General features: G+C 53.4%; 2 protein-coding genes and 2 long non-coding RNA genes across 44 annotated transcripts in view, besides 6 other annotated features; 1 reads left to right on the top strand and 3 right to left on the bottom strand.

Moving 5' to 3' along the window:
• Positions 44 to 1032: an enhancer, noted in NCBI's record as "NANOG-H3K27ac-H3K4me1 hESC enhancer chr3:49043602-49044590 (GRCh37/hg19 assembly coordinates)". NCBI's record gives its function as "activates a minimal SCP1, AML or CMV promoter by ChIP-STARR-seq in naive and primed H9 embryonic stem cells {active_cell/tissue: H9 hESC(naive and primed)}" and the evidence as "EXISTENCE:reporter gene assay evidence [ECO:0000049][PMID:30033119]".
• Positions 48 to 17293, bottom strand: P4HTM (prolyl 4-hydroxylase, transmembrane). 5 transcript variants are annotated; one of them, NM_177939.3, is made up of 9 exons: positions 16591 to 16960; positions 16287 to 16368; positions 5573 to 5763; positions 4605 to 4701; positions 2941 to 3103; positions 2155 to 2340; positions 1334 to 1424; positions 1014 to 1137; positions 48 to 514 (listed from the first exon to the last, which is right to left on the bottom strand). In NM_177939.3, the coding sequence occupies exons 1-9, from the start codon at positions 16942 to 16944 to the stop codon at positions 294 to 296; spliced, it is 1509 nt and encodes a 502-aa protein (NP_808808.1). In that variant the 5' UTR covers positions 16945 to 16960; the 3' UTR covers positions 48 to 293. The 5 variants fall into 5 exon arrangements, 4 of the variants coding, with proteins under 4 accessions (NP_808808.1, XP_047304324.1, NP_808807.2 ...); NM_177938.2 differs by having other exon boundaries at positions 52 to 514; positions 1334 to 1483; positions 2031 to 2340; positions 16591 to 17293; XM_047448368.1 differs by lacking the exons at positions 5573 to 5763; positions 16287 to 16368; positions 16591 to 16960 and having other exon boundaries at positions 4550 to 4638.
• On the bottom strand, positions 7418 to 10616 carry LOC124906235 (uncharacterized). Its single transcript, XR_007095904.1, has 2 exons — positions 8529 to 10616; positions 7418 to 8285 (listed from the first exon to the last, which is right to left on the bottom strand). It is a non-coding gene; the product is annotated as an uncharacterized LOC124906235 (long non-coding RNA).
• Positions 15988 to 16549: an enhancer, noted in NCBI's record as "H3K27ac hESC enhancer chr3:49028085-49028646 (GRCh37/hg19 assembly coordinates)". NCBI's record gives its function as "activates a minimal SCP1, AML or CMV promoter by ChIP-STARR-seq in primed H9 embryonic stem cells {active_cell/tissue: H9 hESC(primed)}" and the evidence as "EXISTENCE:reporter gene assay evidence [ECO:0000049][PMID:30033119]".
• Positions 16717 to 17096: a silencer, noted in NCBI's record as "silent region_14344". NCBI's record gives its function as "represses an Ori minimal core promoter by ATAC-STARR-seq in GM12878 lymphoblastoid cells {active_cell/tissue: GM12878}" and the evidence as "EXISTENCE:reporter gene assay evidence [ECO:0000049][PMID:35858748]".
• Positions 17114 to 17676: an enhancer, noted in NCBI's record as "H3K27ac hESC enhancer chr3:49026958-49027520 (GRCh37/hg19 assembly coordinates)". NCBI's record gives its function as "activates a minimal SCP1, AML or CMV promoter by ChIP-STARR-seq in primed H9 embryonic stem cells {active_cell/tissue: H9 hESC(primed)}" and the evidence as "EXISTENCE:reporter gene assay evidence [ECO:0000049][PMID:30033119]".
• Positions 17207 to 17366: an enhancer, noted in NCBI's record as "active region_19848". NCBI's record gives its function as "activates an Ori minimal core promoter by ATAC-STARR-seq in GM12878 lymphoblastoid cells {active_cell/tissue: GM12878}" and the evidence as "EXISTENCE:reporter gene assay evidence [ECO:0000049][PMID:35858748]".
• LOC124909376 (uncharacterized) lies at positions 17329 to 21716 on the top strand. Its single transcript, XR_007095903.1, has 2 exons — positions 17329 to 17653; positions 21468 to 21716. It is a non-coding gene; the product is annotated as an uncharacterized LOC124909376 (long non-coding RNA).
• Positions 17677 to 18240: an enhancer, noted in NCBI's record as "H3K27ac hESC enhancer chr3:49026394-49026957 (GRCh37/hg19 assembly coordinates)". NCBI's record gives its function as "activates a minimal SCP1, AML or CMV promoter by ChIP-STARR-seq in primed H9 embryonic stem cells {active_cell/tissue: H9 hESC(primed)}" and the evidence as "EXISTENCE:reporter gene assay evidence [ECO:0000049][PMID:30033119]".
• The window catches only part of ARIH2 (ariadne RBR E3 ubiquitin protein ligase 2), a 67541-nt gene continuing 64327 nt past the window's right edge, over positions 20819 to 24032 (bottom strand). For all 37 annotated transcript variants that reach the window (NR_146084.2, NR_146082.2, NR_146083.2 and 34 more), the window contains one exon: positions 20819 to 24002. Coding sequence is in view for 33 of the 37 variants with exons in the window: in NM_001349210.2 (NP_001336139.1) it covers positions 23931 to 24002 (72 nt within the window). In the remaining 4 variants the exon portion in view is untranslated. The remainder of the gene's footprint in view (positions 24003 to 24032) is intronic.

Here is a 24032-nt window from a genome sequence, read left to right as displayed (position 1 = left end):
GCTTGCGGGGCGCTCCCAGCTGCCAGCCCGCTGCACCTATCGCGGACTCTGTTTCGCCGACCCGGAGTTTGTCGGGCCCGGCGGCTCGAACCTTGTGGTTTTTTATTTGACGGGGCAGATGGAGTCAGTACACAATAAATAACATGAATATAGGAACTGCGCCGTATCGCGGCTGGCGGGGTGGGGCAAGACATTGGCCAGACCTTTAGTCTGCAGCAGGACAGAAGGACAGCCGGACCCCTGATCTTGGGCAACTGGCGACCCGCGGCTGGGAACCGGGGCTAACTCTTCCCTCAGAGTTCCACGCGCGCATCGCGGTAGGCCCGGTCCAGAGCCCACTCGGGCTGTGAGTCGGTGCCCCCTTCTCGGGCAAGGCGGGCCATCTCCTGTTGGAACAGCGCTTGCCGCGCTCGGCTGGGGTCCACATTAATCCAGTTGTTGGCAATCCACTTGGTGCCGCGCGTGACCAGGCAGCCCCCGTGCAGCGAGTAGTCGTCTACGTCACCCACCCAACCTAGAAGAGGAGGGTGACGTGAGATCCTAGGCTGGGCTGGCCAGAGCTTGGCCTCATAGGCACCAAGAGCATGACCAAGGTGGGTCCAGCTATGCATTCCTTGTGTAGCAAACACCCAGACCTAAAGCTTCCTTGGAGGCTCCTCATCTCAGCCCACTAATGTATAGTCAACACTACTGGCCCTCTGAAACCAGCTTTCTTGCTGTTGGGCCTGTCCATATCCCTTCCCATCCTGGGTTAGCAAGGGACATGTGTCCCAAGCCCCAGGGAGTAGGAAGGCTGGGGCATCAGGGAATGATAGGGATGGATATAACCCAATAAGCAGTACAGGTCCTGGGGCAGTCTGCTAAAGTCACTAAGGATGGCCTTTGGGAGGCACCAGGAGCAGAAAACTATTTGGAAAGCAGCCAGAAACAGCCCTCCATTGTGGCAGACGGGGGCTGGGTAAAGGGAAGCTGTACTCAGGGCACCCCCCCCAGGCCTGGCCATAGGCCCTCACCTTGCCCATCAGGCAGGTAGTTGTACCAGAAGACTGCTGTGCCCTGTTGGGGCTTGACACGCAGGTTTCCCTTGTCACAGTGCCTCCGTGTGTCACGGAGGTCCACGTCATCCTGAATCAGACTCTGTGGGCAGCAGGGTGGTGGGGTGTTCAACCTGTCCCCACTCTATGGCCAGGCCAGCCAAGGGTGACCAAAGGGAAACCAACCAGATATGCCCAAGGAATAATTTGGGCCCACATCCTTAGACCTGGAGAGGTGTGTACTTCACTTGTCTAAGCCCCTGCCAGCCCACAAGAGTAATAGCCCAGTTGACCCTTACCATTTCATCGTAGGTTCTGTTATCTGCTACAGGGAAAACAGTCTCGCCCCCACCAGTGACGTTGTTCAAATAAAACAGCACTGTCATGTAGCTGTAAGGCAGGGGGGGCACTGAGCAGGTCCCCAGTTGTGGATGCTCCCAGGGGCTTACCTGTGGGCAGGATAAGCTGCCCAGGTTCCTGTTGCCAGGGACCAGGACAGACTAGGATGGGAGACAATAGGGCAGGCCAGTGCCAAAATGTCCCTAGCCCCTCCTTCCCCGAAACCCAGTCTCTTACTGTGAGTTGCAATGGTTTTTTGGCCAAGATCACAGGTGCACTTAGTTAAATGCCATGGCCCTGAGCAAGGGCCTGGCAGGGAAAGGTAGGCTAGCAGAAGCAACAGGGCGCGCTGAAGGGCTCCTTGGGGATGGGAAGGGGCTGGGCCAGAACAGCCACCTGAAGAGGAAAGAACTGGCTTGACAGGGGAGGGAGGCACAGCTTCAGCTTCTCTAAGTGGAATCAAGATCAACACCTGGAGGAATGGGCAGGACAAGCTAGGGGCCCAGCCTTGCCCCTTGCTTCAGAACTCAGGGGGCAAGTTTTGGTGTCTGTGGGTACATCAGTCTGTGTTGACTCCAGTGGTCACGATGACCAGTAGCCACCCCTTTCCAGCCATTGGGTAAACAACTTGTGGGGAGAGGTGAGGGCATCACTAACCGGGATAACCCAGTGATCTCCTGGCCCCATGCCAAGGGGCACGCCCACAGTGCAGGGCTGTGCCTGTGTCATGGGTGTTCCTGGTCTGAGGATTGAAGGCAGCCCCCAGTTGGGAGATACTTGCCGGCAGGAGGTCTCGAAGGGTACAGACTCGTTGGCTACCAGCTTGGTATGGGAGCAGATGGTCTCTGGGTACACAGGCCCACTGTCCACGTGGGCATGGTAGTGGCCCCCCTCACCATATCGAACAACCTGCAGCGGCTCGCTGAGCTCCACGATCTCAGGCGACAGGCGAGTGAGGCGCAGCACCCTGGTGGGCAGCAGGCATTTGGCTGGGCAGCCCCAGGCAAGGTGGTGATCTGAAGGAGCTGGCCAAGGTGGACCCTAGGCCTGCCACAAGCTTTGCCCCTACCCACCTCCCCTGGAAGTCCCTTAAGCCATCTCAGACTGGCCCTGTAAGAGCAGGAGGGGGTTACTCATGATGATCCTTCTCCCTCAGATGCCAAAGACAGAGACACCTGCTATGTGGAAATGTTGACATTTCCACTAAATAAAGGGGGCGGGGAGTCCTGAGGTCCTCCTCCCTGGAAGAAAGTTGTTTATTTAAAAACCCTTTTCCTGCTGTGACGGGGTCAGATAAGGGGTCAAAGATAAGAGGTCATTTATCTAATCAGAAAGAAGTGCTCAATCTCTATCTAACCCCAGTTGCCCATTGTGTGCCTGCAAGGAGGGCTAATTTGCCTTTGTTAATTGCCTGTCTTTCAGTGGGTCCCAATCCTGGTCTAACAAATGGAACTTAATCCCAAATGGGTTAATCCATTCTGTCCTCTTGGCCCCAGACAAGGACTTCTGTGGAGGCCCTGCCCAGTCTTCTCCCCCTGCTCCAGTGAGAACAGCTTCAGGTGCTCACCTCTGGCGGATGGCACGCATGATGTGGTGGGCACCCTCACCCTGGTAGAGCCAGGTATGGTGGCTGTTCCGCACCAGCTCACTGGACTCTGCCTTGTGGCTCCTCATGTACTTGTGGAAGTCCCGAAGGTCCATGTTGGAGAACTCCTGCAGACTCAGCACTCCTGCACAGGGCACCCACCATCAATGCCCACCAAGCCCATATTGGGAGGCAACAGTGGCAGGCTGCACTTCCCTACCTACCCCAAAGGCAGCAGCAGCCCCTGACCTCAGGCACTGAGGGGCCTTGTACACTTGTCCCCCACCTGGACTTTTGGGTCAGATGAACCTGGTTTCTGTCACATCAGGCCTTACAGGAAGACCCAGAGCAGTTCCTTTTCTCAGTTTAAGCCCTAATTTGGCCCTAAGAAGAAAGAGGCCCACCCCCTATTAGAGTGGCCAGAGAAGGTTCTCCAAAGGAAGCTTGAGCCATATGGCCAGGACCCTGGCCTTCCAGCCTGGCTATATAGAGTGGTGGCCACTCTCCGGCCTGTGGAGGGTGAGGAGAGAGCAGGCAGTGCTGGGCCTCATCCAGGGCCTTACATACATACGCCAGGGTGCAAGCAGGGCCAGCCCCCGGGGAGTTCCTCATGACCCCAGGTTTCATCCTGGGTGGAACCTACTTCGCCAGCCCTGCCTACTGCGTTACCAGCCCACCTTAGCAACGAAAGTCAGGCCACCCCCTCTCATGAGAACATTCTCCACTGTCCCTGCTCAAACCATTAAGCAGGGGTTCTACCCTCTTGGGGTTCTGGAAGAGTAGTTGGTATCTTTGCTCCATGTTATTCTGGCTGACCCAAGGACATCACCTTCCACTCTTTGGCCCAGATTCCTCTGAGGGTGGGGGACATTCAAGGGCTGTGAGACTGTCACCACCTCTGTTCTGGGGCCTATAGCAGTGTGGCAGCCATCCAGCCACAGGTCACGGCCAGATTCTTCACTCTGGTTCACCAGCCGCAAAGCCACTGTTCCAAGTCCTTTCTAACTGCTGTATCTTCCTCTCTTGGTCCAGAATTTGGGCATGAGGGTGATGACCACACCTCAGAAACCTCCTGAGAGTTATTACCAGAGGGGGCACCACTTGCATGACAGCTTCCCTGCCCACCCCTCCCCAGCAGTTAGCACAGGTAGCAGCACTACCATTTTAGGCGCTTCGGCATGACTCCAGGTGGACAAGAGGAAGGCAAGGGAGATCTCACTTAGACCAGGGAAGCTGTCTGCTGGGGTGGACCTCGTGTCTGGCTGGAGAGATGGATGGAGCAGGGTAAACAGCCAAGCTCTAGCTGGCCTCACTGTCGCCTTGCTCCTGCTCCACCCACTCTGTTCTCTGCCAACTAGCAGCCCTACTTCCTGTCCCCAGGCTCTCAACTCTGCCTGATGTTATCAAAAGGGTCTCCAAGAACTGCCCTCGAGACCATCACCAAGGGGAACGGGGGGCCTGGCTGCCTGCCTACTTCCCAGGGGTAAAAAGCAAGGCTGGATCTTCACCTCCCCATCTCTGGCCACTATAAAGGGGTGCAGAGAGGCTGCCTGGCTGTGGGGGAAGGGCCCAAGTTTTCAAAATTGTGCACCTGGGAGTGGGCAGGAGGCTCACGGGGATAGGACTGTGCAGAGGTGTGAGCTCACCGTCACCATCAGGGTCAGCCTTGATCGCGGCGTACATCTCCTGAATGCTCTCTGGAGTCATCCACCATCCATTTCCCAGGCGAGTCTGGGCCAGAACCTAAAGCATAAGAGGGTCCCTCAGTGGGTGACCCCAGTGATGGAGAGCCAGCAGAGAACAGATGGCCCAGTGCTTGTTGTGGAGCAAAGTGTTCAGGTGAGGGCATGGATGAGGACACAGGGCAGAGCCCATTGGGCCAAAGTGAGTGCAGGTAGAAAGGTACAGAGCATCTGAGGAGAAGGCCGGGGGCTGGGGGTCAAGAGGCGTAGGCCATTTGCATTCCCGGACTAAGGCCCCGTGGCCTTCATGGAGAGCACTGTTGGTTGGAAGCAGAGTGAAGGACAGGCCTGTGTCCCACTCAGATACTCCGGGTGAGATGGGGAAAGCCAAGTCCTGGGTGTTAAGGGAGAACAGGCACCAGGGGGAGACCTGGTTAGGGCATGACCACCAGATCCCTCAGAAAGACCAGGCTCAGTGGGGTGTTCTGTGTGGGCAGTGCCCCGCACCACCACCCTGCCAGACTTCTCTCAGAAGCTTGGCCCTCCAGCCTGGCTGTAGAGTGTGTGAGAGTTATGCAGAGAGAGAGGCAGGCTGCTGGCCACCTCAGAGCTGCCACCCCATCCACCATGAGTTCTGTGGGGCCCCCAGCCATGAGAGCAAGGAATGCAGGCTACAGAGGTGCATCCCTCCAAAACTATGGTGATAAATGCCATCACCCCCAGGTGGATTCTCCTGCCATCTTCTGAGGTTCCCAGGGTAGCCAAGAGCTCTCCAGAGGGAAAGGGGACCTCCTGGGTCTGGGCATGCCCAGGCAGGTCTGGGTAGTATCTGACTTTTGGGACCAGGCCTGGGCTGGACAAGTGACCTGGCCACCAGAAAGGTGATTCTGGGCACTCCCACCCTGAGCCTACTCAGGTCCCAGGATTCCAACCTCACGGAGCTGAAGGTGCCCATCACGGTTCTGGTCCAGCAGCCGGAAGAGGTCCAGCTGGCTGACCTGCATAGTGCTCATTGCCTCTTCATACTCTTCAGTAGGCAGGATCTGGCTGCGCTGTAACCCCTTCATCTGCGCCAGATGGATGATGAGCCGACACTCTTCATCAGTCAGGAAGCCGGGGATTTCTGCCAGAAGAGGAGGTGGGTGAGGCCAAGGACTGAGCCAGGGCGCTGGTGCACCCAGTACCTTCCTCCCTTCAGGGTTCCTGGGGTACTGCATGTCCCTCAGTGGCCACCAGGTCTGGAGGATGGAGGATTTTACAGACCCCTTGATTCTGACTTGTCAAGATTGAGTTGTCCTGCAAAGGCTGGCTGGCGTTGGAAATGTGGGACCTCTCTTGATGATGAGAGCACACATTTTCCAGGAGAGCCCTGGGAGGTGAGCCAGAGCTAACCTGGATATGGGCTGACCCATCTTTGGGTTGGGACTGAAGGCTAGAGAGTGATCCTGAAGGGCAGAGGCTTGATTGCTACTTTTTACTGGGTATAAATATTTAAAGTGGGGAGATGGTGGCTGCTTCTTGCTTTCATTTTAACTTTTCAGCATTATTCAAATAAAAACAGCACAAGACATCCAATGTTTCAGGCCAGTCCAAGGGCCTTCCCCTCCAATTTCCTGCAAAGATGGGTGCTGGCCATCTGACCAGGGCTGAGTTGCCCAGTGCTGGAAGATCAGTGAGGGTTACTCAGGTTTTGGGCAGATACTGGTCTCTGAAAAGATGTCCCAGGTGTCCTTTGCTTCCTTGATTCCTTCCCTGGTACAAATGTTCACTTAGTGCCTACTCTATGCCTCTACACCCCTGAGTAAAGATCAGTCAGGCCTGGGGCTTGGCTTCAGTGGCTGGCTGCCTGCACACCAGGCACAGCTGGTAGGTGGCTTGGTGGAGCTAGAACCTGAGCCTCACATCTAGGGAGCCCACATTCTGGTAGCCCCAGACACTTCCAGAGCAGGAGCATGGGCCCTGCTTCCTTCCCTTGTTCCTGGGAGAGCGGTCTTCACTGGAGGACAAGAAGCACGCAGAGGAGCTGACTGGAGGAAGGGCAGCACTGCTACCTGCGGAGTGGCCTGCCGCTTCTCTCAGTTACACTTCCAGCACAAAGTTCCAGTCATTGCCAAGAGGAAGGAAAATGGTCACTCAGCACCAGGGTTGGAGCTTTTTTTATTTTTTTATTTTTTGTAGAGATGGAGTCTCCCTATATTGCCCAGGCTGGTCTCAATTTCCTGGGTTCAAGCTATCCTTCCACCTCGGGCTCAAAAGTGCTGGGATTATAAGCATATGCCACCACACCTGGCCTGGAGTGGTTTTTAATAGTAATTACAGCAGAAAATACTTAGGTAGCACAGACTCTGCCCAAGGCACTGTCCTAAGCACTTCATACACATCAACTCCTTAATCCTTATACTTACCCTAGGAGGCCAGGCCCCATTAATTCAACCTTCCTATCTAAGAGGAAACCCAAGCACAGAGAAATCAGTGCCTTGCCACTGGCCACCCAGCCTGCTGTGTTCCAGAAACCATGCTCATGACCAGATTCAGCTACTAGGAGCAGGTGACCCTGATGTGATAACACTGAGGATAGGACAAAGGCCCCCACTCTTGGCCTGCATGATCCCGTGACCCCAGCAAACCCAGAAAGGGTGTGATCCAAGGGGAGACAGCCCTGTGGAACAATGGATTAGATCAAATTGCAAATCAACAGAGTCACCTCTTGATTGCTTAACACACAAAATTTAAAAAGAAAGAAAAAGGAAGCCAGAAAAAGAAAAGAAAACACAGGCCCAGGTTTCTTCAGTTTATTAGGTGCCAGTAATCTGCAAGCCCAGTGGAGGTGCCTCCAGCCTCTACAGTCCCCTGCTGTGTGCTAATCAAAAACAAACAGCCCAGTCAGCATGTTGGGGCCTCACCAGGTGGGTCCGGGCACCTCGGAGCTGTGCAAACCCCTGCAGGATCTCCTCTGTTGGCTCCCTGGGTGCAGGAACAGCCCTATAAAACCCTCAACCTCAGTTCATTAAGGCCAAGGCACAGAAGGCAGTGATGGAGCAGGGGCTGTGGCTGCTGGTGACACTGGTGATGCTGTGGGATGACAGCAGGGTCAGGGGCTCCCTGGGGCTGCATGAGGTGCATGCCCATTCCCCAAGCCATGGCCCTATGCCACGACATTGGCTACACAGATGCGTCTGCCCAACTTGCTGGACCACATCACAGCAGCTGAGGCCATCCAGCAGTTGGTCAGCTGGCTGCTCCTGCTTGCCTGGGAGTGCCACCCCGATGCCCGCCTCTTCCTCTGCTATTTACCCCTGTATGCCTTGACAGGTAGGACAGGGGCTTCCAGGTGCAGGGCCCTGGAGGGCTCCCTCAGGGCCCTGCTCTGGTGGCTCAGGTCTTCAGTAATCCTTGCTGAGCACCTGAGCACCTATCAGGGCTGGGCGCTGACAGGCACAGAGAGGAAAATGGATCGTTTTGTTAGAGTGTTCCAGACAGAGGGAACCAGGTGCCCTTAGGCAGGAGACCATCAATGGTGGTCAAGGGCTCTTGAATGTCAAGATAGGGCAGGTGGACAAGTCGCTTCAGGCTGGGGGTTGGGGGCAGGCGGGCTGGAACCTCCTCTCCAATGAGGCGTGGAAGCTATGTCTGTCCAAAGAGACCCTGGCAAGAGATGGAGCAGAGGCCCTTCTGGTGGCCTTTTCTCCCAGAGAGTCCAGAGATCCCAAGGCTGTTTCCTCTTCCCCAGCCTAACCTATCCTGTGAACAATGGTTTCTCCCAAGAGCCTCTGGGTGGCCATGTCAGCAGAACTCAGGATCAAGCCCTTGAACTGTTTGCCAACCCCAGCCCTGGCTGCGGTGCCCCGAAGGCCTTTCAGGACAAGAGGGAGGGCCCTGTTTCCTCACTTTAAGATGGAGAGTAAAGGCCCAAGGTGCAGGCCACCTCTTGCAGACAATGGATGTCCACAGAGCCGGAGGGAGAGGTGCACTGGAAAGCTGGCAAGGCACCTGAGTGGGAGGGCGGGAGTGAAGAGGCAGAGCTGAGGGCTGAGATGTGGGGCAAGTGGGAAAGCCAGGCTACGGGGCTGTTGCTAGGCGACCAGTGTCGTTGCCCAGCAACCAGAGAGTTCCAGGCCACGAGACAGGGGTAGGAACATGGAGAGGTTCCAGCTGATCTGGGTGCTCAGCCTGTGGCGGTGCAGCCCCCGACCCTTTCCCCCAAAGGGTCATCTACCCCTCCTACAGCCTGTGCGAGGCCATGCAGGCCAGCTGCGAGCCCATCATGGCCTGCTACAGCTACCCCTGGCCAGCCATCCTGCATTGTGGACGCTTCCCCTTGGGCCATGATCTCTGTATCACTGCTGTGGCCAACAACGGCTCCCGCCTGGACCGCCCATGTGAGTCTGCACATGGCTGGTCTCCACCTTGCTCGGCCCCACCCCTTTCAAATCATTCAAATCATACAGGGATCAGGTAAACTGTACTCAATGTCACCTACAGCAGGCATCCGTCTCAAAAAGGGTAAAAAAGGGGGAAAAGTGGAGGGATCAGCCCCCTCCACCCCCTCCTCACTCCACCCCCAACCACACTGGCCAGTGCCTCGCCTTGCCCCTCTTCCCAGCGCTGCATGCCAGCTGCAGGGACTGCGAGTTGCAGGATGCAGGCTCCTCCAAGGAGGTTCTGGACACTCTCTGCACCAGTGACTTTGATGAGTCCTGGGCCTGTAGCTTTACACACCCCTTCCAAGTGCCTCCATTGCAGCTCCTGGCTCGGGGCTGAGGCAGTGTAAGAGGGAATATCCAAATGCTATGCCTGGTTGGAACAAAAAGAAAAAATTCCTTTACAAGCATAGGACATTGCTAAAACAACAAAATGAAACCAAAAATTCTGCTAAGGAAGGTGGCAGACTGATTCTAAGGGCAGAGCATCAGACAAAAGGGTTTAGTCTACTAGGTGGAGGGGACTGATGGACTAAACACTCTTGGGGGTTTAGGGAGGACTCCTAGAGGCCCATCTCCTCACCGGCCCCTCTGTTCCCACTCAGCAGTGAAGGTCAGGTTCTCCAGGACCAACAGTACTTCCTCTGGCCCCTGGGACTGCAACCTGTACTCCAGACTAGAGGTGCTGAAGACAGGACCACTGCCCCCTGCAGAGCTGGAGCCCACCCTGCAACGCTGGCTGCAGCTGGATGTCACATGTGTGTACAATCTTTTTCGAGGAAGGCACACAGGGACCTATGTGTTGAGTGGGAAGATGGAGGCCTGCTGGCTGTTGGTAACCACGGCCTATGCCTGGAGCCAGGGCCACCAAAATTTTCGACTGGCTGTGCGCCATTGGCACCCTCACCAGTGCCAAGAATAGGGGCTAACCCCGCCAGGGAGAGCCTGGGACTTTGTAGCCATGGCCTCTGCAGTGGCCATGCAAATTGTGTGTGCTTCCATGGAAACACATACAACCCTCTTTCTGCCGCCCCCCAAGGAGATTTACAAACCAGAATCCAGAGAGGCACAAGTCTCAAACAGGGTGGAAGTACACTTTCCATGGACACAGCTAGGAACTGCTTTTTGAGCAGGTAGTCCTCTGTCTGGCCAAGAGGACAGACAGGCTCCCAGGCAGCTGTCTATGCTGGGTAGGGAAAACCACCTTCTGTCCTTCCCAGGCCTAGGATGACAGCCTGGCTAGTGGCCTGCTACTACTGCCCACATGCCTCGGAACCCCAAGCTGAGTCTCCGGGCAGGCACATAGCCTTGGGCTATGCTCACCTTGGACAAGATGCTGTTTGTCGAACCCCGGACAGACTTAATTATACCTGATTAACCTTTACCGGTCCGTAGCTTTGCCAAGCAGCAGGCCTATGAAAGAGCAGGGGTGTGTGTGGCAATGCAGCAGCCTGAGCTAAATTCCTTAAAAACTCGAACTAGCCAGGCGCAGTGGCTCACACCTGTAATCCCAGCACTTCGGGAGGCTGAGGCAGGCGGATCACGAGGTCAAGAGATTGAGACCATCCTAGCCAACATGGTGAAACCCCATCTCTACTAAAAATACAAAAATTAGCTGGGCGTGGTGGCGGGTGCCTGTATTTCCAGCTATTCGGAACGCTAAGGCAGGAGAATCACTTGAACCCAGGAAGCGGAGGTTGCAGTGAGTCGAGATGGTACGCACCTGTAGTCCCAGCTACATGGGAGGCTGAGGCAGGAGAATTGCTTGAACCCGGGAGGCGGAGGTTGCAGTGGGCCAAGATCGCACCACACTGCACTCCAGCCTGGCCATAGAGCGAGATTCCGTCTCAAAAAACAAAACAAAACAAAACAACAACCTTGAACTGATACGCACACTAAAATTGTTTCTCTACTTTTGGGCCTCCAGTGTTTGTCATGAGGAGGACTATGGTCTGATGTAGCTGCCTAATTGTTTTCTTAAGCTGAAAAAGAATACATTTAGAAATCCTAAGATAAAGCAGTCATGATTTTAAAATAAATTGTTTTGTATACTGGTGGCAATTACTCATTTACCTCAAATTGTTAAGAAAAATGGATTAAAACTCTTGCTGGCCACTGGTAGTACCCCCTGCTGCCTTTGAAGAGGGTGCCAAGTCAGAAGGATACGTGGAGGATGCTCTAAGCCAGCAGGCAGATGCTGGACTGGGCTGAGAGCACCCAGTGAACTCCTCCAGCCAGCCAAGAATTAGCGGGAGGCTGGGCACGGAGGCTTATGCCTGTAATCCCAGCACTTTGGGAGGCTGAGGCAGGCGGATTACTTGAGGTCAGGAGTTCGAGACCAGCCTGGCCAACATGGTGAAACGCTGCCTCTGGTAAAAATACAAAAATTAGCTGGGCATGGTGGCAGGCGCCTGTAATTTCAGCTACTCAGGAGGCTCAGGCAGGAGGAGAATGGCTTGAGCCCAGGAGGCGGAGGTTGCAGTGAGCCGAGATCACACCACTGCACTCCAGCCTGGGCAACAGAGCGAGACTCCATCTCAAAAGAAAAAAAAAAATCAGCAGGAGATACAACTCTGGCCATTGGACACACAGCTGAGACAAATCAGTCCTCTTACATATGCAGCTCACCTTTGTGGGCAGAGGTACAAATGACACAAATAAATACGGAAAATAGTTTCCAGCAGTCCTAAGCATTTGAGAACAAAACCCAGCAGGCTGATGCAACAGGGTGCCTGGGAACCTTTTAAGATGGGTTTGAGGACAAGAGGTCTCTGAGGATGGGATGTGTGAGCAGAGGCCTGCTGGAGCTGAAGGCACGCTCTGTGGGAAGAGCCAGGTCTAAGCCTTTTAGTGAGGGAATAGTACATACAAAGGCCCTGAGGCAGTAGTGAGCTTGTGGTGTCTGAGGATCAGCAGGGAGTAAATGGAGTCGGGGGTGGGGGCAGGAGATGAGTCTAAGAGGCGAGAGGGCTTTTAGGCATCAAATGAGACTTAGAAGTGAAATGGAAAATGTTGGAGACATTTAAGAGAGTGATGAGCGGCTGGGCACGGTGGCTCATGTCTGTAATCCCAGCACTTTGGGAGGCCAAGGTGGGTGGGTCACCTGAGGTCAGGAGTTTGAGACCAGCCTGGCCAACATGGTGAAACCCCATCTCTACTAAAAATACAAAAAATTAGCCAGGTGTGGTGGCGGGTGCCTGTAGTTCCGGCTGTTTGGAAGGTTGAGGCAGGAGAATCACTTGAACCCGGGAGGCGGAGGTTGCAGTGAGCCGAGATGGTACCATTGCACTCCAGCCGGGGCAACAAAAGTGAAACTCCATCTCAAAACAAAAACAAAACAAAACAAAACAAAACAAAAAGAGAGAGCCATGAGATCTGATCTGCTATGACAGAATCAGTGTGGGGTGGGGTAGGACAGCGGGAGAAGTGGGCCACATGTAAGAAAGCAATGTCCCCAGAGAGGTGGCAATGGTTCAGAAATGGAGCACTTCTGTTCTGAACAGGATGGTGCCCTCAGCTGACACCCAATATTCCAAATCCTTTATTTCCCTACCAAGGGAAAATGACCTACCAGTCATGGAAGTATTTGCCAGGAGCTCAAGCGTGGGCCTTTTGTGGCCCAGGTCCCAGTTGCCAAGTGTCTTTAGAAACAAGGGTGGGAAACAGGAAATATTTCTCAAGGAGAGACTGGGGGCTGCACGGGGTCTTCCTTGAGAAGTGCTAGGGTTCCCTTCTACAGAGATGGAGGCACCTTGGGGTGGACCCCAGTTCCCTTGCCCCAGCTCACATCTTTAGCATCCACTCTTCGATCCCAGGTATCTTGGGTCCCTGAAGCTGGCAGGTCACAGGTTTAGATCCAAGAACAGCATGGCAGAGGGGGCAGAATCTATAGCAGGTCCACTCTTCTTGGGCCCTGCTTGCCCATTTAGAATAACTGGGTAGCAGACCAATGGACAGAGGGACAGGCAGGCCCAGAAGACAGACACTGCTCCTGCTGGGGATGAGGCATCCTTCTTTGTAGTCATCCAATACCACAGTATTCAGGAACTGCCCCACCATGACCACCCTCTTCCCTCTCACACATCTGGACTTCCTGTAATCATTGATTGCAATCTCTTGGTTATGCCTTTTGAAGTTCATCTGCAGAAACAGAGATCCATCTGATGGCTTAACCAGAACCAGTTTACCTTTTGTCAAATCTCTTCTGCTTTTCATAATTTGCCCTTGGTGACTTTAGATCTGGGTTTCTCATTCTATGCTTTTTTTTTTTTTTTTTTTTTGTGATGGAGTCTCACTGTCACCCAGGCTGGAGTACAGTGGCACGATCTTGGCTCACTGCAACCTCTGCCTCCCGGGTTCAAGCAATTCTCCTGCCTCAGCCTCCCGAATAGCTGGGATTACAGGCATCCACCACCATGCCCAGCTAATTTTTGTATTTTTAGTAGAGACGGGGTTTCACCATGTTGGTCAGGCTGGTTTCGAACTCCTGACCTCAAGTGATCCACCCGCCTCAGCCTCCCAAAGTGCTGGGATTAGAAGCATGAACCACCAAGCCCGGCTCATTCTCTGCTTTATAGGACAAGCTGTTTATTAGGGAGACTTTGGCTTCATGGCTTACTTAACCTAACATCAATATGAATTAGATATATACAGATCCCAGGAAGGCTGCTGAGAGAAAACAGTGCCTCCTCAGATGTGTCTGTTCATAGTAGTCGTTAGTAGTGTAGTAGTAATGGGGTGAGTATTAGTTCCTTCCTGGACCCCTCTTTCCTGACAGTCATCTGGCTTTATCCCATACTTCCCACAAGTCGTTGCTCAGATTTTTTTTTTTTTTTTTTGAGATGGAGTTTCATTCTTGTTACCCAGGCTGGATGCAATGGCACAATCTTGGCTCACCACAACCCCTGCCTCCTGGGTTCAAGCGATTCTCCTGCCTCAGCCTCCCAAGTAGCTGGGATTACAGGCATGTGCCACAACGCCCTGCTAATGTTGTATTTTTAGTAGACGGGGTTCCCCCATGTTGGTCAGGCTGGTCCCGAACAACCTGACCTCAGGTGATCCACCCGCCTCGACCTCCCAAAGTTCTGGGATTACAGGCGTGAGCCACCGCGCCCAGCCTTGCTCAAATATTTTTTTCAGGCAGGTCCACCTTGGCTACCTTATTAAGGGTTCCAGCCAGGCATGGTGGTTCACACCTGTAATCCCAGCACTTTGGGAGGCTGAGGAGGGCAGATCACCTGAGGTCATGAGATTGAGACCATCCTGGCTAACACGGTGAAAGCCCGTCTCTACTAAAAATGCAAAAAATTAGCCGGATGTGGTGGCGCATGCCTGTAATCCCAGCTACTTGGGAGGCTGAGGCAGGAGAATCACTTGAACCCGGAAGGCGGAGGTTGCAGTGAGCTGAGATCATACCATTGCATTCCAGCCTGGACAACAAGAGAGAAACTTAGTCTAAAAAAAAAAAAAAAAAAAAAGAGTTCTAATCCCAGCTGAACTTCTGCCTTACTGTCTGCTATTTTTTTTTTTCTTTGAGATAGGGGTCTCTCTCTGTTGCCCAGGCTGGAATGCAGTGGTGCGATCTTGGCTCACTGCAACCTCTGCCTCCTGGGTTCAAGTAATTCTCATGCCTCAGCCTCTTGAACAGCTGGGATTACAGGTGTACACCACCACACCCGGCTAATTTTTGTATTTTTAGTAGAGATGAGATTTCACCATGTTGGTCAGGCTGGCCTCAAATTCCTGACCTGAAGTGATCTGCCTGCCTCAGCCTCCCAAAGTGCTGGGATTATAGACATGAGCCACCACGCCCGGCCCTGTCTGCTATTTTATGTTGGCAAAAAAGAAAAAAGAAAAAAAATCTGCCTTACTTGTTTGCAATCACATATCACCATCTGACACACCAATGTATATATTTATTTGTTTGTTTATTGTCTGTTTCCTCTTCATTTGAATGTCAGCTTCAGGGTTTTGTTTCATTGTTTATATTTAGTTCAATGCTGTGTTCCTGGCACCTAAAATAGTGCCTGGCACAGACTTCAACGTTACTCAATAGTAATAGTAATAATAACAACAACCAGCTTTGGGTGCCTCTCCCACAACAGGACTGACAGCATAATCTATTTCCCTACAAACAGCATGCATATGACATCATTCTGACAGGTCTAGGCATAATCCCCAACCAGGACCCTCTGCCTTGGAGGTAATGACTTGTGCTCAGATGTTCTACTTTGGCCCCAGCTCCTAACCCATTCCATCCCCCGGCAGGCAGGAATGGCCCTGGGTTTGCAAATATGTTTGTCACGGAGGCCAGGTACCCAGGGCTGGGCTACACAAACACCCTGGACAATGTCCATGGGACTAGGGGTCCCCACCCAGTTGACACTGGTGGTCTTTGAAGGACTCTGGGGTCTTCACAGCTCGCACTGTGGCTTTACTGCATAGGCCTTAGAGGCAGGCTATGTGGGTTCTAATCCTAGCTTCACCACTGAAGTAACCGTGTCAGCCTGGCCAAGCCACAGCAGCTCTCTGTCCCTAACTTTCCCCCTCACTGGCCTGAGTAGGATCTACACCCACTTCACAGAGGGGTTGCAGGAATTAAATGAAATAATCATATGAAGGCAAGCACATAACTAGAGCTCAGAAACGATGAGCTATGTTGTGGCTCCAACTGGAGTCACCCTAGAAAGCTTTGCCCATGATGGCTGAACAAAGACTTCACCTTAAGAAGAATCTCAGAGTGCTGGCAGCAAAAGCTGAGCCTCTGACTGGTACTCCAGTGGAGGAGGCTGGGGGGGTACCAGTTTATCTACATTTGGACGGCCTGCTTCTCATCAGACCACAAGGCCCACTTCGGCAGTGGGATTTTCCCCAGAGGTCCTGAGGTCGGCAGAAAGCTGGTTATCAGTCTCCCACCTTCCTCCCAGTTCTAGAAGGTGACAGAATTAATGGTGGCACGGAAGACAGGTGCAATGAAACGTTTAGACACCAGCCTCAGGCTCACCCTGCCAGCCCTGTGATGGAAGAATGGACTGCAGGGAGTTGGGATAAGAGGGAGTGTTACCCTATTTCGAGGACGGGGAAGGTCCTTCACTTTGGTAATCCTCTGGAAGGGCTGCTCTGAAGCAGCCATTTTCAAAATAGAGGTCACGTGGTCACAACGAGCCTCAAGGTGGCCACCAAACCGCAGCCCCTGGCCCTTCCCAGGAGTATCTGGCGGACTTACCGAAGAGCAGCGGCTTGAGGCTGAGGGTTCGGATGAAGTGATCCCTGTCGGTGACCAGCTGGACCTTACGCTCGTGCCCCACCTAAGGAAAAGGCGCACAGCGGGCAGCTGGGGCGCCAGACCGCGCTGCCCAAGAAGGGCCAAGTCGCCCCGGCCCGGAGAGCGACAGCAGGCGAGTGAGTGGGAGCGCGCGGGACCGACGCAGAGCAGCGCCGGGGGCAGCGTGGGGACCCGGGCTGAGCGCCGGTCCTCTCGGGCTCAGCCGTGCAGGGCCTGGAGCGCGGCGGGGCAGGGAGGTCCTCACCTTGATGCCCTCCAGCCGGGTGAGGGGACCTAAGGTGGGCTCGGGCCCGGGGCCCTGGGCACGGTGTTGGGGCCCGGGATCGCTGCTTTCGTCGCCGTTGCTGTAGTGCACGAAGAGCAGCAGCGCCAGCACGTTACCCAGGTACAGGTGCACGAACACCATCAGCACCAGGAAGTAGGCGCGCGAGCAGATGCCGCGGGGCTTGCACAGCGGACGCACCGGTGCGTCCTCGCCGTCGCCCAGCCCGGCCGCCGCCTGAGCCTGGCAGTGGTCTGGCGGCGCCCACTGCGGCCTCGAGGCCTCCTCGGCCGCCGCGGTCTCAGGCCGCTGGCCTGTCACCGCCGCTGCCGCCATGGCACCCAGGTCGCGCGCGCGCCCAGGGGAGGGGCCGCGGGGGTGCCCGCGCTGCGCAGTCGCCCGGACAACGGCCGCCAGGCCCGCGAGCGCCGCGGTCACTAGGAGACGGTGCCTGGGGGTGCTGAGCCCGCCCGGAGCCGCCTGCGTCCGCGCCGGGCTCGGCCTTCCTGCGCCTTGAGCCCCAGCCCACGCTGGGGCTTCTCTTCCCAAGCTGGGTTGCCGTCGGGCAGAGCTGTACACTCTCCAAGTCAGAAGCCAAGGTCCCAAGCGTAGACGCGGACAAGAGCGGCACCATTAAGGCATACACTAGTGGGAGCTTCTCGGTGCCTGCGTGAAGACGCCCTCTTGCCTCCGGGAAAAGTATCGTCTGCATCTTCTTGCTCCAGGAGCGGGGGTGGGGAGCGCAGCGCGGAGGAGGCAGCGCTGAGATGACTCAACAGTGCGGCATTTGGGGGCGCCGCGGAGGCTGGGACTGCGTAAGCGGCGATAGGGTAGGACCCACAGCCTCCTCGCAGGCATTCTTGGAGCTCGGTTCCGCGGTCGGTCCGGATCTCCCGGGAAGTCTCGCCGGAGTCAGGCAGGCCTTAGGAAGAAGCTGCCTGATGTGCAAGGTTTCATAGGCCGTCAGAGGGGGCATCCTGGAGGAGCCCTGGCATCAGGAAAGTGAGCCCCCCATGGCAGCCCGCAGGAATGAACCAGTGCTCAGGTATATGGAACACTCCTTGCATCAAAGCTGGCACGTGTGAAGAGGCGGGAAGGGACTCTTCCATAACTGAGACACCATTACCTCAGAGAAAAATTAAACAGATTATCACCAAAAACGGGGGTGGGGGGAGGACATACCTACCAGTGGTCAAGTGCCAAGGCATCCCTGCTCTTCTAGAGCTGGTTATCCTCAGGAAGAGATTACTACACGCCCTCAGGGCAGAAGCTGACCCCCCTCCCCGAGGTGGACTTGCAGGCAAGAGCAACACTTTTAAGGCAGGTCACACTGGTGGTTTCTCCCTACCCTGGTTAAGACCCCCACTACCTCTACTCCCATCTCCTCTCCCTTCCCCATAGCAAAGCATAGTCTGCATTTTCTAGTCCCCTCAAGTCAAGGCAGGCCAGGGGCTCCAAGGGCAGGCCCACCTCTTTCTTCTAAGATTTTTTGTGTGTGTGTGACGGAGTCTCACTCTGTCGCCCAGGCTGGAGTGCAGTGGCGCGATCTTGGCTCACTGCAACCTCTGCCTTCCGGGTTCAAGCAATTCTCCTGCCTCAGCCTACCAAGTAGCTGGCATGCGCCACCATGGCGGGCCAATTTTTTTTTTTGTATTTTTATTTATTATTATTTAGTTTTAATTTTTTAATTATAATTTTTTTTTTTTTTTTGATACAGAGTCTCGCTCTGTCGCCAGGCTGGAGTACAGTGGTGTGATCTCAGCTCACCGAAAGCTCCGCCTCCCGGGTTCAAGCAATTCTCCTGTCTCAGCCTCCCAAGTAGCTGGGACTACAGGTGCCCGCCACAATGCCCGGCTAATTTTTATATTTTTAGTAGAGACAGGGTTTCACCATGTTGGCCAGGCTGGTCTCAAACTCGTGACCTCAGGTGTTCCACCCACCTTGGCCTCCCAAAGTGCTGGAATTACAGACATAAGGCACCACACCCAGACCAAATCTCCTAAATTCTTAAATATAATAAACCAACCAACAGAACCATAATTTTACCAAGGATCTCATGGCTTTCTCATACCTTTTCTGGAATGAAGTTGAGACTATTTCCCTCTAGCCTTTTTTTTTTTTCCCCGAGACAGAGTCTTGCTCTGTCACCCAGGCTGGAGTGCAGTGGCTTCATCTCGGCTCACTGCAACCTCTGCCTCCCGGGTTCAAGCAATTCTCCTGCCTCAGCCTCCCAAGTAGCTGGGATTACAGGCACGTGCCACCACGCCCAGCTAATTTTTATATTTTTAATAAAGATGGGGTTTCACCATGTTGGCCAAGCTGGTCTCAAACTCCTGACCTCGTGATCCGCCCGCCTTGGCCTCCCAAAGTGCTGGGATTACAGGCATGAGCCACCGCGACCGGCCCCTCTAGCCTTTTAAAAACTAGAATTTGATCACCATAAAATCTGTACTTTGCTTAACCTATTTTCCTGAACTCCATTCTTACACCTATTACCTGAACTAGGCCTACCACTAAGCACAGGTACTGATAGCTCATTGCCAGACAACAGAAAGCAAGCAGGTTGCAGGGCTGCTCCACCTGCTGTCAGCTGTGGGAATTTCACAACCACATCAGAAACCAGAATTTCTCAGTCTTTTAAAAGCCTGGCCCTTTGATGCCATGACAATACATACTACCAAATCCAGGCCTTCTATTGATCTGTATTCTTTTTTTTTTTTGAGGTGGAGTCTCGCTCTGTCGCCCAGGCTGGAGTGCAGTGGTGCCATCTCGGCTGACTGCAAGCTCTGCCTCCCGGGTTCACGCCATTCTCCTGCCTCAGCCTCCTGAGTAGCTGGGACTACAGGTGCCTGCCACCACGCCCGGCTAATTTTTTTGTATTTGTTTTTTAGTAGAGATGGGGTTTCACTGTGTTAGCCAGGATGTTCTCGATCTCCTTGCCTTGGCCTCCCAAAGTGCTGGGATTACAGGAGTGAGCCACTGTGCCTGGCCTTTTTTTTTTTTTTTTTTTTTTTTAGACAGTCTCGCTCTGTCGTGCCCAGGCTGGAGTGCAGTGGCGCGATCTCAGCTTACTGCAACCTCTGCCTTCTGGGTTGAAGCTATTCCCCTGCCTCAGCCTCCAGAGTAGCTGGGATTACAGGCACCTACCACCAGGCCTGGCTAATTTTTTGTATATTTTAGTAGAGGTGGGGTTTCACCATGTTGGTCAGGCTGGTCTCAAACTCCTGACTGCAGGTGATCCGCCCCCTCGGCCTCCCAAAGTGCTGGGATTACAGGCATGAGCCACCACGCCTGGCCTGTTTAAGACAGGGTCTTGCTCTGTCACCCAGGCTGGAGTGCAGTGGTGTGATCACAGCTTTCTGCAGCACCTACCCCCAGGCCCAAGCAATCCTCCTAGCTCAGCCTCCCAAGTAGCTGGGATTACAGGTGTGCAGCACCACGCCCAGCTAATTTTTATTTTTTATTTTTGTAGGAAGAGATCTCCCTGTTGTCCAGGCTGGTCATGAACTCCCAGGGCTCAAGCAGTTCTCCAGTCTCAGCCTCCTGAAGTGCTGGGATTATAGGCATGAGCCACCACGCCAGGCCCCTAACTCATTTTAAATGGCTGTGTAATGTGGATGATGACAGCACCTACCTCAAGGGGCTGCTGTGAGGACTAAATGGGTATGTTCTCAGTTAACATTAGTGTGATTGTCTTTGTGAGGTCCCACTTCTATCACTTTCTATCCCGCCCCAAGCAGAGCCTGTTATACAGGAGATGCTCAGATGCTTATTGTGTAAACCCCTGTGGGCTACATGGAAAATCCCTCCTGACTTCGCTAGAAGGTGCTATCTTCTCTCTTTTTAGGATTGCCAAAGGTATGGTGCCAAGGCCATAGTACCCTGGCCCCACTGATCTGCAGGAGTGGCCCTGAGCATGGGTGGTCCTTTGCTCCTGGCCTTGCTGCTCCAGTAAAAACATTCACTAGTGGGCTGGGTGTAGTGGCTCATGCCTGTAATCCCAGCACTTTGGGAGGCCAAGGCAGGAAGATAGCTTGAACTCAGGAGTTTGAGACCAGTCTGGGCAACATGGCAAGACCCTGTCTCTACAAAAAAAAATACAAAAATTAGGGGAGCATGGTGGCACACACTGGTCCCAGCTACTCGGGGAGCTGAAGCAGAATAATTGAGCCCAGGAGTGGAGGCCGCAGTGAGCAGAGATCATGCCACTGTACTCCAGTCTGGGCGATAGAGCGAGACTGTCTCAAAACAAAAAACAAACATTCACTAGTGATCAATTCCTTCTATGTTCCCCATGGATTGGAAGCTCCTGGAAGCTAGAGCACGTGAATCACTTGCATACCACTGTATGCCCAGGTGCCAAGCGTGGGGCTTGGCACACCTGAGGTCCAGAGGAAGAGCTGCGGAGTTCAGACTGGCAATGTATGAGGCCTCTTCTAGCCACAGGTGCCCTGTGCATGTTGCCCACAGCTATGGAGCCTCCACTCTACCCCTGAGCTACTTATCACTGACACTACTGCCACTTCTGACACCACAAATGTGGACCCCCTTAATCAATCCAAACCTCATTTCCTGTCCTTCACCCTTGAGATTAGACTCCACACTTGTTTCTGCCCCAAGTTGTCTCTTCATAACCCTTAGGGCTCCCGTGAAGCTGGAGTTCACCCTGCCATATTCCACAGCCCTACATTCCCATGTCTGCTTTGGAGGGGTCCGGAGGTCTCAGAATGGGGGGGTTGGGACATTTATATCAGTACTCTACCACAACCCTGGGATCTATCTGTGGTGGGGAATGATTCAGCCTGTACTGAGGGAGAGGAGAGCGGAAAACTGGCAGGATTTTCTACTTCATTCCACAGGGATCACTTACAGGTGCCCTCTCCCCCAACAGCCAGAAAGGGAAAACAGAGCCGAGTTTGGCCACTGGGGCCTCCACAGCCCTCTGGAAGAAGGGGCTGACTGATAGGAAGGCACTCCTCTGGTGTTCACTGGCCAGACCCCTGTGGGCTCAGAAGACTACCTAGACCCCATGAAGAAAGACTCTAGACACATTTTTATAATCAGAAACTTACAGTTTATTGTGAATAAACCACTCAACTTTGAGCAGATGACATTGCCTCAATTAACTTTTTCGTTGAAGAAAAACAAAGATATATGGTAAATTCATGAAAATACTGTGTCCTTTCTCTTCCACCCTTTGTAGGGCAGAAAAATTCTGCCTGACCTTTCCCATCTTCCTGATGATGTTAACAAACGACAGCCACTGAGGGCACAGGAGGGGGCTCTACACAGGCCAAGAGCTACAGGCTACAGTCTGAGCACAGAAAACCCTCCAGCTCCAGCATCCAGGGCCACAGCTGGACACAAGTACAGAACCTGGCAGCCCTGCAGCCCAGACAATGCCCAGGGTGTGATTTAGGGTGCAGAGCTGCAACTCAGATCCTGTGCCATGGCAGTATCACAGGAAGGACTTGACGGAGAGGTGAAGGCTCCAGACGCCAGGATATTTATTCCCTGTGCCAATACAGCATTCACACCTGACCTCCAGGTCCTGCAGCAGGTACTCTCCTCATTCACAGTTAGCTCCCCACTGTTCCATTCTGGGTTCATTTGCTATACTCCTAATCTGTTCTCCCAATCCACCCCACAGTCTCTCCCTTGCTGGGGACAACACAGGAAGAGACAAAACCTGAGGAAGGAAAAAGGGAACCTGCAACCAGCCATGGACCTCATGATCCCATGAGTCACAGCTATCCTCTGTCTTTAAGAATGACTGTTTTATAGCTTACATGGTACCTGGGAAATTGCTGACTTGCAGCTGAAATGTATGAATACCAAAGAATTTCTATCACAATATTCACAGATCTCTGTATCAGCTCTACTTGGAGGTCAAGCAGGCTTGGGAGAGTATAGACTGCTCTGCCTGCCCTAGAGTGGAAGCATTGAACAAAGCCACAAAAACCCCAGAGATCACAGATCTAACTTTTCAATGGCCCACAGGACCAGGTTCAGGACAGGTAGGACACCAGGCAAACCACTTGTTCCCTTGCGCTTCATTGTGCAAAAGCTGGTCTGTTCCTCTGGCCAGACCCTCCTTAGTACAGGATCTCGGACCACAAACCAAGGAGTCTCGTGGCCTTGGATTCCCAGACCCTAGGATGGTATCCCTCTGACAGCTGGAACCAGGCAAGGGGGAACACACCTCAGCCTCAGAGCAGCCTCTGGACACTCTCCAGGTAACATGAAAATAACTTGTGCAAACACAGCCCCCATGCCAGAAAGTCCAGTGCCCTAGGAAGGGCTATCCTGAATTCTGACCCTGATGTTTGCCAAAGGAGAATGCAGCAAGACAGTGTCAGGTTTGGCCAAATGTGACCCTGCTCAGAGCTATACCACTTGAATACTGGCACAAAAGAAAGGACCAAGGTAAAGCAAATTTATTTGGGAGGAACAATTCCCTTCAAAAGTAGATCCCTATCTTTAGGAGACAAAAGGCAACACTGTGATGAACCCACACCCCCTAGTTTGGGGGGCCACAGGCCCAACCCCATTCTGCTGTGGGCTCTAGCCTCAGTAGCCAGATCCAGGTAAACCTCAGTTTCAAGAATAAAGGTGAGCCACAGACATGCAGCACCACCAGAGACAACAACACCCCGTGGCAAGAAGACCATGTTCTGGACTGTCTCCGTACTGCCACGGTAAGGCAGGAGGCATGCTGTGACCCCTTGTGCTCCATGCCCATTGCACAGGCCAGTTCAATTCCCTACCATCTGCCACCCATGCTCTTCTTTGGGACTACAACTCTGGCCAAACGTGAATATGGAAAGCAGAGGCCCAGGGCCCTCTTGCAGTACAGACATTTTGAGGTGGGTAGGCAGCATATGTTACATTCTAAGTAAAACAGCTAGAGGGTAAAACACTCCAATGCCAATTTATTTTCAAAAAGGGCTCTGTGTTATCCTATAGTTTGCCTTTTTTTTTTTTTTGTATAATTGTACAACCTTTGAAAGTTACATAAGTTGTAATGATCTAATACTATTAATAGCCATTCAGAAAACACTTTCCCTCCCTCCCAACAACCATCCAGGGGGAAATAAAAGTCCTGAAAAGAGGCCAGTTCAACATGGCCTCTACCCTGGTAGAAACAAAAAGTGAAAAGAGAAGAAAACAGAAATCAACTAAGAGGTGTTGCCAGTGTCTCTCAGGAGTGGGGCCCTGGCTGTTGCCTGGGGTCATGAAAGGCAGAGCCTGCAGCATGCAGTATGGCAGCCGGGAGACCTTGCAGCCACATCTTCCTCACCCCGGCACATCCACATCCCAACTTAGGTGTCATGGAAATCTTTCAGCAGGGTTCTCCTCCGCTGCTCCGCTATATGCATCTGGTTCTCCAAGTCCTGCATCAGAGAAACAAGGTGTGTGCTTGC

The sequence above is a fragment of the Homo sapiens genome, chromosome 3 (assembly GCF_000001405.40).
Source record: "Homo sapiens chromosome 3, GRCh38.p14 Primary Assembly".
NCBI classification, from domain to species: Eukaryota; Metazoa; Chordata; class Mammalia; order Primates; family Hominidae; genus Homo; species Homo sapiens.
The sequence above is the reverse complement of the archived record's forward strand: the minus strand, read 5'-3'. Positions and strand labels throughout refer to the sequence as shown.

Excerpts from the sequence above, each read along its gene's own strand:
- P4HTM (NM_177938.2), bottom strand. The coding sequence starts at position 16,944 with ATGGCGGCAGCGGCGGTGACAGGCCAGCGGCCTGAGACCGCGGCGGCC. Across the intron at positions 5,764-16,286 it reads CCTCAAGCCGCTGCTCTTCG|AAATCCCCGGCTTCCTGACT; the intron begins GTAAGTCCGCCA and ends CTCTTCTGGCAG. Across the intron at positions 1,484-2,030 it reads GAGATCACTGGGTTATCCCG|GTAAGCCCCTGGGAGCATCC; the intron begins GTTAGTGATGCC and ends TCCTGCCCACAG.